This window comes from Homo sapiens, chromosome 17 (assembly GCF_000001405.40).
Source record: "Homo sapiens chromosome 17, GRCh38.p14 Primary Assembly".
Taxonomy (NCBI): Eukaryota; Metazoa; Chordata; class Mammalia; order Primates; family Hominidae; genus Homo; species Homo sapiens.
Window position 1 is genome coordinate 81,243,436 of NC_000017.11, and position 12,899 is coordinate 81,256,334.

Consider the following 12,899-nt stretch of genomic DNA (forward strand, 5'->3'; position numbering starts at 1 on the left):
GCTGGGGGTGCAGGGACTCCGGGGTGCAGCGGGGTGGGCGACAGCAGAGGCACGGCCGTCATGGATGCCTCTCTGTGCCGGCCAAGGGCAGCCCGCTCCAGCAACAGAAAGCGGGGAGGGTGGAATAACCTCCAGAGAAGGAAAAGAAAACTGGGTCACGGTAAGATATTTGGGGAAATCCAGCCGGAATGAAAATCCCACTCTGAGCAATTTAACAAATGGAGTTCCAATCCAAGGGGAACGTCCAGAAGGAGTTTTACCACTGAGCAGTGGTTCATTTGGAACTGGTTTTAATTGAGAATGAAGGACAGAAATGACCAGGACTGAACCCCCTTGGCGGGGCACCTCCCAAATGCTGAGTGGTGCCCCTGGCCCCACAGCCCCCTCCCAGCCTCCTCCCAGCCCCCTCCCAGCCCCTGGCCCCGCAACCCCCTCCCAGCCTCCTCCCGGCCCCCTCCCAGCCCCCAAGGCTCGGCAGGAGTCACCACTCAGCCTCCAGAAGCTTCCCTCTAGTTAATTTCCAGTCTTCAGGCCAGGTGCAGTGGCTCAAGTCTGCAATCCTAGCACTTTGGTAGGCTGAGGCGGGTGGATCACAAGGTCAGGAGTTCGAGACCAGCCTGACCAACATGGTGAAACCCAGTCTCTACTAAAAATACGGAAAAAAAAATTAGCCGGGCGTGGTGGCGGGCGCCTGTAGTCCCAGCTACTCGGGAGGCTGAGGCAGGAGAATGGCGTGAACCCGGGAGGCGGAGCTTGCAGTGAGCCGAGATCACACCACTGCACTCCAGCCTGGGTGACAGAGCGAGACTCCGTCTCAAAAGAAAAAAAATTTCCAGTCTTCAGGCTGCCCAGTGACATCCTTCAAGGGAAGAAACTATAATAAAGAGCCAAAAGGATATCAAAAGGTGCAGGAAGACACCACCAGAGGCTGAGGCCGGCCCTCCATGCAGGGACCCTTCGCCAACACGGGCCTCCCCCAGACCCAGGCCCTGGTCCTCTGCCCTTCGTGGCAGGGTTTCGTGGCAGGGTTGGGGCGCAAGCTCCCCAGAGGACGAGCCAAAGCAGACTCGGATGCTGTGGACACAGCAGCACCTCCTCTCTCCCGCCAGGTGAGAGGGCTGTGGAGCGTGTCCTGGTCACGAGGCAGCACGCCCGTCAGCCTGGCCCTGGGGGCTGGACCACCTCCTGGCACCAGGCGGCTCTGCCTGCTCACAGGGTCTCTCTGGGGCTGTGCTGCGTCTAGTGTCCAGTCACTGCGACGCTCAGGTCATGGCGCCGTTCCCTCATGACCTCTGGCCTCTGCTTTACACATCTGGAATCCTGAGCCGGCCTCAGGCTTTCCTTTCAGTCACTCCCCCAGGACCAACTTCACTAATCAGGTTATCAGTGGTGTTTTTTACTTTTTAAAAAAAGCCACAATTGGATTTTGAAAAACACAGACAATGGAGGGCTGGGCCAACCATGAGGAGTGCAAAGGGCGGCACCGGCCAGTGCCCCTGGACACCCGGCTTGTCTGGCCCCTGCTCCCTGTGCTTCCTGGACACCAAACAGCATCCACCGAGGCTGGGTGAAGGCAAAAGTGTTTATTCAAGACTTTCTACCACACTGTGGGAAGCATCGATAAACAGTCATAATAATTATCATTCTGAGTCACTGCAAGCGTGGGGTTGGATGCTGGCTCTCACAGTAGCCTGTGTTGGGACCATGAGCAGCCATGCGCACCTCCACGCACGGCCGAGCTCAACCCGAAGACCACGCGTGCTCCCTGGCAGGAGCAGGAGGCCTGACCACAGACGCAGCAGCTCCCCAGCCTGAGCCTGGGAGTGCACCAGCCAGCTCGCAGCGGAGGCCGTTTCTCCTCACAGGCTGGAGTGAGCTCAGAGTCTAGAGGTCAGAGGACCTCAGACTAAGAGCTGCAACAGAACGACAGCAAGAACATTCTGGAAACGATGCCACAGTGAATCTTTTATACTGTCACTCACACTTGGTGAGGGCCTCAGACATGAAACCCTGGGGAGAGGCGAGTGTGACCTCCAGAGTTTGGCTGGGATGCGGCTGAGACAGACCTGCTGCTGGCCGAGGAGGGCAGTGGCTGGCGTGGCCCTCATGGCCAGCAGGTGCTAGGACTCCTCTGGAGGCCCAGGCGCCTGTCTAAGCTGCCGGCTGTGGACCACCTGCAGAGCTCCCCCCGCAGCCTGGCGGAGCTGGGCATCCAGGGCGCCACGGAGGTCGTTCACCTGGACATCAGGCAGGGGGTTAAGGCCAATGATGACCCCATCCCTCGGGGCCAGCTGACCCTCTGCATGAGGGCCAAGGTCCCGCCGTCGCCTCCGGAGGTCGGAGCCAGCCTGCAGTTTCAGGTCCCGGTTGGGCTTGGCATTGTCCGGCCTCTGGCCCCCCGGGACAGCTCGTTTGAGCCCCAGCTCTGGCTCTGGCCTCTGCCTGGGCTCCTGGACAGCAGCGTCCTCCCCGCCTCTCGGCTGCTCGTGGGACACAGGCACATGGTCCCCCCCGCGGGCCTTTCTCATCTCCAGGTGACCGCCATGGTCCAGCCGGTGGCCCTGCTGTCCACCCTGCTCGCCATCAGAGATGACCCGCAGTTCCGGCTGGCGTAACACAGCCTGGGGCTGTGCAGCTGCTCCTTCCGCCCCACCGGGCAGGTCCGCTGCAAGGCCCAGGTCTCGGCTCACTTGCTTGGGCTTCATGCGAGGGTCCCCCGTCTCTGCTCCTGGCCCTGCCACGAGCCAGTTGGCTTCCTTCAGAATGCTGGTGCCAGTGGCTGCCACCTCCTTCCCAGGTTTTTTCCTGTCTTGGGAACCGCCAGTAACGTCCTGACTTTGCCCAGGGAATTCCTCTGCGAGGCGCTCCTCTGGGCCCCCGGCTTCCCTGGCGGGGTCTGGCACGGGCACCTGCTCCGGGCCCTTGGGGAGCTCCTTCACAGTGCCAGCTGCCCTGGGGGCGGCATCCTTCTGGCCATCTCTCAGCTTGGCCTGGGCTGCCCGAGGCTCTGTGTCAGGGCCGCCGTCAGGAGGGCCAGCAGGGTCTCTGCCCACAGGCCCCTCAGAGTGCTCCAGGGAGCGCTGGTTAAGGTCCTGGGATGGAGCAGGGCGGCCCCCAGGAGCTCTGAGGACAGGGTCCAAAGGCAGGGGAGGCAGATTCTCCACCGTCTCCCTGGCCTTGCCTTCAGGGGCCTCCTGGCCTCTGGGCACCGCTGCCCCGGGCTCTTGATGCACCTCCACTGCAAATGAAGTCGGTCATCAATTTAGCCACAGCACTGTACACAGGCTGCCAGTGGAGGGGCTCAGAAGAACCAGCAACAACAGCATTGGGAACCAAAACCAGACTCACGCTCAGGTCTAGAGGCCACCGAGCCTCAGACCCAGCCGCATGAGGACAGCAGGAGACCCCCTGCCTGGCCCCACCCCACTCCATCCGCCAGCCCGGCCTACCCTGCCTGGGTTTATCCTCCTCGTCCTCCTGCCTCTGCTGGTGGATCTCCTTGTGCTGCTCCTCGATCACCGCCAGCAGCTTCTCCTGCTGGTCCAGCAAGCGCTTTTGCTGCACCTGCTGTTCTTTGATCACCTGAAGCAGGACGGCGTGGTCCAGCATCTCCGCCCTGCCAGCTTCTGGGTTTGGAAAGCACACAGTCAGAGTGCCCGGGCTGCTCATGCACCGTGCTGGGCCAGGGACGGCGCGGCCCACAGCAAGGCAACGCACAGGTCACCTGCAGGGAGTGTGCCCGAACACTGGCCACTGGTGACACCCATCATGACTGTGACCGTGAAGCCCGGACAGCTCAGTGATGCACGCAGGCCTGAGGGCCCGGGAGAGGCTGCGCCCTGACTGCCCCTGGAAGCCCACCCGGGATGGCCTCTCCCGCACAGCCAGCCACTGTGCCGCATCAGTTCTCCCACTGGCTGTGCCCCAGGCGCACCCGGCAGGACCCCAGCAAGCCTGCTCGTTGCCCATGGAAGTGAGTGTCCAGAGCAACAGTCAAAAGGAATGTGCCAGAATGTCAGAGATGGTTATCTGGGCTGGGTGGGGTTTTGTTTTTGTTTTTTCCACTTTACACATTCAGTTGTTCTAGGACAAGCACGTAAGAAAATAAGCCTGGGCACGGCGGCTCACGCCTGTAATCCCAGCAATTTGGGAGGCGGAGGCAGGCAGATCGCTTGAGCCCAGGAGTTAGAGACCAGCCTGGGAAACATAGCAAGACCCCCATCTCCACAAAAACAAAAAAAACAAAAAAATAAAAATGATCAGGGTATGGTGAGAGGCGTCTGTACTCCCAGCTACTCGGGGGGCAGAGGCCAGAGGATCATTTGAGCCCAGGAGGTCGAGGCTGCAGTGAGCCGTGATCACACCACTGCACTCCAGCCTGGGCAACAGAGCAAGACCCTGTCTCAAAAAAGAAAAAAAGAAAAGAAAAACTGTAAGCTATGTTTTGAAAAGAATATTGGTACTTCTAGAAAGTTTCCTCCGAGATGAGAATTTTAAAAACAAACAAAAGCTGTCTTTTTTTTTTTTTTTTTTTTTTTTGAGACGGGAGTCTCACTCTGTCACCCAGGCTGGAGTGCAGTGGCGCGATCTCAGCTCACTGCAAGCTCCGCCTCCCGGGTTCACGCCATTCTTCTGCCTCAGCCTCCCGAGTAGCTGGGACTACAGACGCCCGCCACCGCGCCCGGCTAATGTTTTGTATTTTTAGTAGAGATGGGGTTTCACCGTGTTAGCCAGGATGGTCTTGATCTCCTGACCTCGTGATTCGCACACCTCAGCCTCGCAAAGTGCTGGGATTACAGGCATGAGCCACCGCACCCGGCCAAAAGCTGTCTTCTAAGGGGAGCATGGGAGCTGGAGCGTCAGTGAGGCCCCCGCCAGCCATCCTAACCACCGCTCCTGAACACCATCCACTGTGGAAATTCTGGGCAGGTCCTGCGTGATGGGGAGCCCCAGTGCACCCCGTGTTAAGAGCTGGTGCCTGCAGCAAGGGCCAGAGGACAGGCCTGCCCGGGTTACGGCTGGCACACACTTGGTGCAGGAGCACCCGGTCTGACTCGCTTCAACACTGGCCAGTTATTTGCCGCAAGCGGCTGTGACTTATGTCATTTTTACAAGATGTTTTCAAATTATTATAGGAAGCTTTGAAAAATGATGGGTTAGGGCTGTGAGGCATAAAAGTTCAATCCAGGAGCGAGAAGGATGTTTTGTGAGTGGTGAGAGCAAATATCTCAGGGACGGCCCTGCATGCCAGGCATAGACTGACGTGCCGGCCCAGCCTCCCCAGTGGTGACACCATGACCAGCCAGAGAAGTGCAGGGTCAGCATTCTCCCAGGAACGCAGCCCTGGGCCTCGCCCAGACCCCTGGATGTGGGGGACAGGGCTGGCTCCAAGGAGATCAGGGCCATGGGGCCGGCCCTCAAGCAGCAGCCCCTGCTCCCTGCTAGCACCCCGGGCCAGACGCCTGCCTGCAGGGAAAGGCCATGACGGGCAGAGCAGGTCTCCCGCACACCTCCTTTCACAGGAGGAAGTGCAGGTGGCAGACCAGCCACCTCGGCCGTGGGCCACGTGCTCGCCCTGGGTGCTGCGGGGCTCAACCACGGAATGTCAATGGTACAAGGACGAGATCCCATGTGCTGGTGACACCTCCCCATACTCCAGGGCAGGGTTCCGAAAGAGCAGGCACCATGGCCTCACTTGCTCCTCAAAGGACTAGCCCTGGGCCTGGTGCTGGGAAGAGGAGGAAAGAGGAGACAGAAGGGAGGAGGGGGAGGGGGAGGAGGGAGGGAGAAAGAGGAGGAGGGAGAAGGAAGGTGGGGGAAGAGGAGGAGGGAGGAGGAGGAAGGAGGGAAGAGGAGGAAGGAGGGAAGAGGAGGAAGGAGGGAAGAGGAGGAAGGAGGGAAGAGGAGGAAGGAGGGAAGAGGAGGAGGAGGGAGGGAAGAGGAGCAGGAGGGAGGGAAGAGGAGGATGAAGGAGGGAGGGAAGAGGAGGGAGAAGGAGGGAGGGAGAAGGAGGGAGGGAAGAGGAGGGAGGAGGGAAGAGGAGGGAGGAGAGAAGAGGAGGGAGAAGGAGGGAGGAGGGAAGAGGAGGGAGGAAGGAAGAGGAAGAGGAGGAAAAAAGAGGGGGAGGGGGGAAGGAGCCATGCCACGTCCAGCCAGAAGCCACGTGGGACACATGTGAAGCACCGTGGAGGAGACAGGCTGTTCCTACAGCCAGAGCCCACCAAGACCACGGGGACTGGGCTGCAGAAGGCACGAAGCCACCCACCTGTTGAGACCCATGCAGATCTGTCAAGGTGGCCCATGAGGCAGCAGTGCAGGCAGCGTCCCCCCTTGGCTGGTGCCCTAAGCAGCCTGCACTCAGACGCTTGCAGAGACCAGCTGCCCTCTGATGACAGGCAAGGCCACAGCAGGGCTGAGAAGGACCACGGCATTTGTAACACAAGGGAGCAGAGTGGGCATCGGGACCCTGCCTGAGGGGCTGTGGCTGAGCCTGGGTGCGTGCGCAGGTCTGGGGCCTGACACGTGTCCCCATGCAGGGCTGTCCCTGGGGCAGGTGTGCCACCGAGGGGCTGCGCTCAGGTCTGTGGCCCGCCAGACAGGCTCTTGACTTCAGCACACTCCTTTGGGTTCGTACCTGCTACTATCTTTTTAATTTCAGCTGCTCGTCCCGTTGAGAGGCATACGGAAGAAAGGCAGAATAGGAAACCGTGAAAAGTCTTTTTCAGAAAGAAGAAAATCAAAAGAATCAAACAGGTTCAGGTAACAGAGCATAGGAATTGGAACCAACAAACATGGCCAGACTAAAACCGGAGACAAAACCCCACATGCCCGAACTCCTGAAGTGGCTCAGAGCTCCGGGAGCCCAGGGGGCGCCTTTTGGCTCTGCCTTCCGCGCTGCAGGTGCAAGGAGGGCGAGCTGCACCTGGAGAAGCCAGGCCGCAGCGACTGGGACGTGGCTGCTGCACCTGCCCTCCCTCGGACCGGCTGTCCTGAGGCCACAGGGCAAGATGCGCGGGCAGGAAGCGTGTGTCTTACGAACATCCTGGGAGGTGCCCGTGCCAGGGCTGGCCCGGAGCTCCCACACCTGCTCCCAGGGGCTTGGCACAGGAGGCTGGAGCGGCTGTGCCCTGCGACCCCCACACAGATCCCTGGAACAGACCCTCTCAATGCTGAGGCACACGTGGACCCCGCATGGGGCAGGGTTGACCATCTTGAGAGAAGGCTTGGACACTGCCACCAAATGCACGTGACTTTTGGTGAGCGGGGGCCCAGCCACACACCCTCAGAGGGCGGGTGGACCCCTAGCCTGGGAGAGGACATGGCACAGAAGCCTGTCCCCAGCAGGCTCACAGACGGGGCTGCTGCTACCCAACTGCATGAGGCCACAAGGAGGGGTCGCAAAAAGCCAACAGCTGAGACCCAAGGGGCGAGAAGTTTGGAGGAGGATTCAGAGCAAGTTTTATTCTCAGGAGAGCAAAGGCGTAAGGAGCTTTCCTGGAGGGACAGGTGACAGATCCCTGTAGATGAACACAGCCGAGCTCCGAGGCCCGAGGGTGTGGGAGCAGTGCTCTGGGCCAGGGCTATGCTAGGACCAGGGCGGGCACAGCCACCCCCAAACTGGGTCCCCTTGGGGCACAGCCTTAAAATAAACCTCCACATCTGGGTGCAGGCACGCCCACACCTGGCTGGCTTTAAATACTCCGAGTGTTAAAACTGTTAACAAACCTGCTTTAAAGACGAAATGGTAATCACAAGCCAAGTGACAATGCCGCAGGTGTTTTAAAGGGGAGCAAGGGAGATAAAACGGTAATCACAAGCCATGTGACGATGCCGCAGGTGTTTAAAGGGGAGTAAGGCAGATAAAAGGTTCCCAGAAAGCAAGCTGCTGATGGGAAGGGAGCAGAAAGCTCTCCGAGGGGTCTGCTCAGCAGGCGGCTGGAAAGAGAAGGGGGGCCTGGCAGGGCTCCCGAGGATGACCTGGGCATCACCCCAGGGCTGGGGGAGGGGGCTGCCGCTCCCTGGGCCTGAGGCAGGCGGCTGTAGGGCGGAGGCCTTACCCTCCAGCTGGCTGGCCGCCTGGTTTCCACCCGCTCGCTCCACGTCCCTCTGCTCGCGAGGCTCGGGCGGCAGCCCAGGCCCTGGAGCCGGCTTCTCCGCTGGGAGGGGAGGCTTCCCACCTGCACACACGGTGAAGACTCAGAAGGTTTTGCAGGAAAGTCAAGGGAGGGTTTGGGGGGTTGGGGGACAGAAGGCAAGGGCGGGACAAAAGGAAGTGGCAGATGTTTCTAAAGTGACACCCCCGTCAGCACAGTTTATATTCAACCTGATGATTACTAGCGAAGCAATAAAAAAATATTTAACAACCTCATAGGCTTGTGGCAATGAGCCAATGGTAACTGCCTTCGCAATTAAAATGCAAGAACTGTCCTAAGCAGCTCTTAGACGGGCACTTAACAACGTGTTACCTGTCAGGCGCCCCCCGCGCCGCCCCCCGTGTGCGCCCAGACACACGAGCACAGCGCGGCACCTGACATTTAGTGGTCTGGCAAACAACTGTGTGACAGATATTACAGTAGCTGTCAGCCACCAGCCTCTTCCTGTCCCCACCAGCTGCCGGGGCCCGCTCCATTTGCATGCTAATCTGGTGCAGGGAGAGAGACTGGGGACTGAGGGAGGAACCATCGATTCTGCTGCCCCTGCCCAGCCTCCCCAGCCCAAGAGGGGAGTGTCTTCCGACACGAGCCCAGGCTGACACCCACCGTGGTCGCTGTCCTCTGCGGGCTGCCCTGTGTCCCCGGCGGCGTTGCCTGGCGGCGGTCCCCCCTTGGCCTTTTCCCCTCCACCCACCGCCAGGCCGTTCTGCTGCTCAGACAGCACTGCCTGGGGCCGAGGATGCAGGCCCCTGTCTCCTGGCCCCAGGTCCTCCTTTGCAGGCTGGACAGCTGGCTGACCATCTGCTTCTGGAACTTTCTGGGGATCTTCAGGAAGATCACCCGCCTCCTCCAAGGCCTGGGCCTGTCCAGGCCTCTTCCCAACCTCTCCCTGCTCCGGCTCTTGTTTCTCTCTTTCTGAGTCGGGCAGAGGCGGCGCCATCTGGCCCTGGACCCCTGGAGCCTTTCCGCCCGCGTGTCTGGATGGAGGTTTGTTCTCTTCTGGCACCTCTCGGTCTTGGCCTTCATCTACCACCACCTTGTCGTGAGGAACAGGAGGCTCGTGGCGGTGGGCCTCGCCCACAGGCACAGCAATCCCTGCAAGGGCACGGGGGACAGATGGGGTCAGGCTGAGGCCCCTCCTTCCCTTCCCAGGGAATTAGAACTGGGTTCTTCCCTGGGTTCTGGCTCCCAACAGTGTGACACAGGCCAACAGATACCACCTCCCCTGCCGGCCTCCCTGCTGCCTGGCCAAGCACAGCTGATGCTAAAGTTCAACAGGGGCAGCTGCAAACAAGTTGCTCTGGGAGGGGCAGGACATTCATCTGAATTGAAAGACAGAGAAAACAAAAAGGACCAGAACTTAGGCTGGGCTGAAGGGAAAAAGATACACACAGCCCTGAGAGCCACCCCGCAGGGTGTCCAGCCTGCAAAGGAGGACCCGGGGCCGCCCTTCCCCATCCGCACCCCCAGCCAGTGCCCAGCACCTTGCCCAGGGCGATCGAGCTGTGCCTCCTCCGGTGCCTCCTTGCCATCTTCCCGTCCAGGCACATCCACGGGCCCCTTGATCTGGGCCTGCTCCAGCTCCTCTCTCTCCTTCGGCAGCTTCGGCTTCTCCCGGCCATCCTCAGCCACGGCCACAACCGGATCCTGGGCTGGGAGCAGGGCACAGTTAGGGAACTGCACTGCCAAGCAGCTCCAGGAGCGGGGCAGCTCTCCCTGGACTGTTACCATATTTTCCAGCCAAATGGCAGAGTCAAAGCAGTTTCTTTTTCCTGTTCGATCATTAGCAGCTAAGTAGCACAGAAAACTGTCATTTTTCATGTGTATTCACAACAAAAATATGTCAAAATGCGATTTACACCTAACTGGGGGCAGGGAGAACTAGACTCCATGTAATACTCAGTCATTACCACCAGATGGCGGCACGAGCCCACCGACCCACTCTCCCACAGTCCCCTCCATTACCATCACCTCCATCATCACCGTCATCACCGTCACCTCCACCACCACCACCACCATCACCGCTATCATCACCATCATCTCCATCCCTACCACCATCAACATCACCATCATCACCATCATCTCCATCCCTACCACCAACATCACCATCATCACCATCACCATCACCATCATCACCATCTCCATCCCTACCACCATCACCATCATCATCACCGTCACCATCATCACCATCTCCATCCCTACCACCATCACCATCATCATCACCGTCACCATCATCACCATCACCGCTATCATCACCACCATCTCCATCCCTACCACCATCACCATCATCATCACCATCACCACTACCATCACCACCATCACTGCCAACCCTACCATCATTGCCATCACCTCCATTATCGTCATCACCACCACCATCTCCATCCCCACCACCATCGCTGCATCATTGCCACCACCTCCATAATCATCACCTACATCACCGTCACCTCCACCGTCACTGCCATCACCTCCATCATCGTCGTCACCTCCGTCACCACCACCACCACCGCCATCACCACCTCCCTGTCCCAGCAAGGCCATATGTCCACTGAGACAGGCGCTGCAGCCGAGGGGGACTCAGGTGAAGCTGTCTGAGGAAGAATTCACACAGAGTCCAGTTCAGAGCAGCAGATGGGGCCTCACCAGCTCCCATAGGAGAAGAAAATGGGGACAATTAGCTTAGCTTTCTACCAGCCTTCTAAGAGCAGCCTGATATGTTAGTCTAGGGAAACAGACAGTTACACTGTTGTCAGTTTGGAGTTGAGAGTCCTAGACAAACTGTAGAGGGAAGGTACCACCCTACTGGGTAATAAACTAGTTAACAGAAAGCAGACGCTAGGCTCTACAGTTTAGTTAAAGTAACAAATTCAACTTTTTTTTAAGATGGACTCCTGCTGTGTCGCCCAGGCTGGAGTGCAGTGGCACAATTTCGGCTCACTGCAACCTCTGCCTCCCAGGTTCAAGCAATTTTCATGCCTCAGCCTCCTGTAGCTGGAATTACAGGAACCTGCCACAATGCCTGGCTGATTTTTGTATCTTTAGTAGAGACAGGGTTTCACCACGTTGGCCAGGCTGGTCTCAAACTCCTGACCTCAAGTGATCCACCCGCCTCATTCTCCCAAAGTGCTGGGATTACATGCGTGAGCCACCGCGCCTGGCCCAAGTGACCAATTCTATAAGCGTATGGCCACCCGCCTGAGCAGGTGAAAACATACTGGTCTCCATCACACGATTAGGCTTCGGCAGAGGCCCCATGCGGAAACAAGCCATAACTGTCAATCAAGAGGGCCTGTCCAATGGATTACTAAGTGAAGAAAGGGAGGCTGGGGAGGGGAAGGGAAAATATAGCAAAACAAAGGAAATCTCCGTTGTCATAGGACAAGTTGCCTCAGAGCAGTCATTTTCTCAGCAGGAGCAAAATTCAGTTCCTCAGGCCGTGAATGACCAGTCTGGGGCTCCAGGGGGAGCTCTGTGTGGGTGCAGGAGCCGCGGGACGGGAAGTGAGCACGGTGAGCCGGGAGCTGCCCCAGAGGTCCCTTTGGAGAACCTCCCGGGAACGCCACGCCTCTCAGCGTTCTGCAAGTGTTGCTGGATTGCACGGGCACCTGCAGGAAGGCTGTGCGAGTGTCCTGGCTCCCCGCCGCCTGCAGCAGCTGACCAGCCAAGGGCTGCACTCACAGCCTTCATGCCCGGCGCTCTGCAGCTGTCTGCGGGCAATGCACACAGCCTTCTCCACAACGGAGCCCATCTTTGCGTCAGGGACAGTTTGCCGGCAGTGCCTCTTGGCTGCAGTAAAACTAACACAAAACTTCAAAATCAGCAACTGAAAAACGTCCGAGTGCTGCCAGCCGCTTCCACTCTCAACATGAACACAGGTTGCGCAAAGACAGAAAGGGGCCCTGTATGGGGAGTGCCCCCGCCAGCTCACGACTGAGCTCCTCGGGAGGGAGGAGATCTCTGGCATCCGAATTTCTTCTCCTAGAAGGCCAGCAACACACCCGGCTAAGCCACAGTAGAGGCGGCCACGGCCAAGGGGGATGGCTCCACGCACGCCCCCAGGAACACCCAGCAGAGGGTGCTGCCGCAGGGCAACCATCCTCCCTCATTTGGCTTCAAAAATCGCCTCCAGGCCAGGCATGATGGCTCACTCCGGTAATCCCAGCACTTTGAGAGGCCGAGGCAGGAGGATCACTTGAGGTCAGGAGTTCAACACCATCCTGGCAAAACCCTGTCTCAACAAAAATACAAAATTAGCCGGGTGTGGTGCCGCGCCTGTATTCTCGGCTACTCAGAGGCTGAGGTGGGAGAATTGCTTGAACTTGGGAGGTGGAGGCTGTAGTGAGCCAATATCGTGCCACTGCACTCCAGCCTGGGCGACAGAGCGAGACTCCATCTCAAAAAAAAAATCATCTCCAGTCACAAGAAACCACGACCCGTGACCATCATTGGCACGTGGTGCCAGGAATGCTGTGTTTATGCTGTCCCAGCGGCTCCTCACTGCCAGGTGCTGACGCAGGTTCCCAGCTCCTGGCACCCACAAAAACACACACCTTCCTAACAAGTGACAGAGGCCACAACTCAGCCACGGCGGAGGCGGATCCCTCAGACTTTCCTCCCTGCTGTCTAGTCGGGCATGGAGGCCCCAAGGCTGCCAAGGCCACAGCTCAGGGCTCGGTCTTTGGAGTCAGACATGCTCGGGGACTTGGAGGTGGTGACCTGGAGGGGAAGGGGCAACATCTAATGCATCCC

At 58.8% G+C, this 12,899-nt stretch overlaps 1 protein-coding gene across 6 annotated transcripts in view, besides 5 other annotated features; it reads right to left on the bottom strand.

Annotated features, from left to right (window-relative positions):
- Positions 1,248–1,367: an enhancer, noted in NCBI's record as "active region_12957". NCBI's record gives its function as "activates an Ori minimal core promoter by ATAC-STARR-seq in GM12878 lymphoblastoid cells {active_cell/tissue: GM12878}" and the evidence as "EXISTENCE:reporter gene assay evidence [ECO:0000049][PMID:35858748]".
- Positions 1,376–12,899, bottom strand: part of SLC38A10 (solute carrier family 38 member 10) — a 50,497-nt gene continuing 38,973 nt past the window's right edge. For 3 of the 6 annotated variants that reach the window (XM_005257019.2, XM_011524288.2, XM_011524290.2), the window contains 6 exons: positions 9,638–9,805; positions 8,760–9,248; positions 8,058–8,177; positions 6,635–6,658; positions 3,450–3,626; positions 1,376–3,238 (listed from right to left, as the gene is read on the bottom strand). In XM_005257019.2, coding sequence (XP_005257076.1) covers positions 2,121–3,238; positions 3,450–3,626; positions 6,635–6,658; positions 8,058–8,177; positions 8,760–9,248; positions 9,638–9,805 — 2,096 coding nt within the window. In that variant the 3' untranslated portion in view covers positions 1,376–2,120. Of the gene's footprint in view, positions 3,239–3,449; positions 3,627–6,634; positions 6,659–7,434; positions 8,178–8,759; positions 9,249–9,637; positions 9,806–12,899 lie in introns of those variants that run through there. The other 3 variants (NM_001037984.3, XM_011524289.2, NM_138570.4) reach the window with 2 other exon arrangements.
- Positions 1,468–1,517: an enhancer, noted in NCBI's record as "active region_12958". NCBI's record gives its function as "activates an Ori minimal core promoter by ATAC-STARR-seq in GM12878 lymphoblastoid cells {active_cell/tissue: GM12878}" and the evidence as "EXISTENCE:reporter gene assay evidence [ECO:0000049][PMID:35858748]".
- Positions 1,728–1,817: an enhancer, noted in NCBI's record as "active region_12959". NCBI's record gives its function as "activates an Ori minimal core promoter by ATAC-STARR-seq in GM12878 lymphoblastoid cells {active_cell/tissue: GM12878}" and the evidence as "EXISTENCE:reporter gene assay evidence [ECO:0000049][PMID:35858748]".
- Positions 8,246–8,913: an enhancer, noted in NCBI's record as "H3K4me1 hESC enhancer chr17:79225481-79226148 (GRCh37/hg19 assembly coordinates)". NCBI's record gives its function as "activates a minimal SCP1, AML or CMV promoter by ChIP-STARR-seq in naive H9 embryonic stem cells {active_cell/tissue: H9 hESC(naive)}" and the evidence as "EXISTENCE:reporter gene assay evidence [ECO:0000049][PMID:30033119]".
- Positions 11,272–11,963: an enhancer, noted in NCBI's record as "H3K4me1 hESC enhancer chr17:79228507-79229198 (GRCh37/hg19 assembly coordinates)". NCBI's record gives its function as "activates a minimal SCP1, AML or CMV promoter by ChIP-STARR-seq in naive H9 embryonic stem cells {active_cell/tissue: H9 hESC(naive)}" and the evidence as "EXISTENCE:reporter gene assay evidence [ECO:0000049][PMID:30033119]".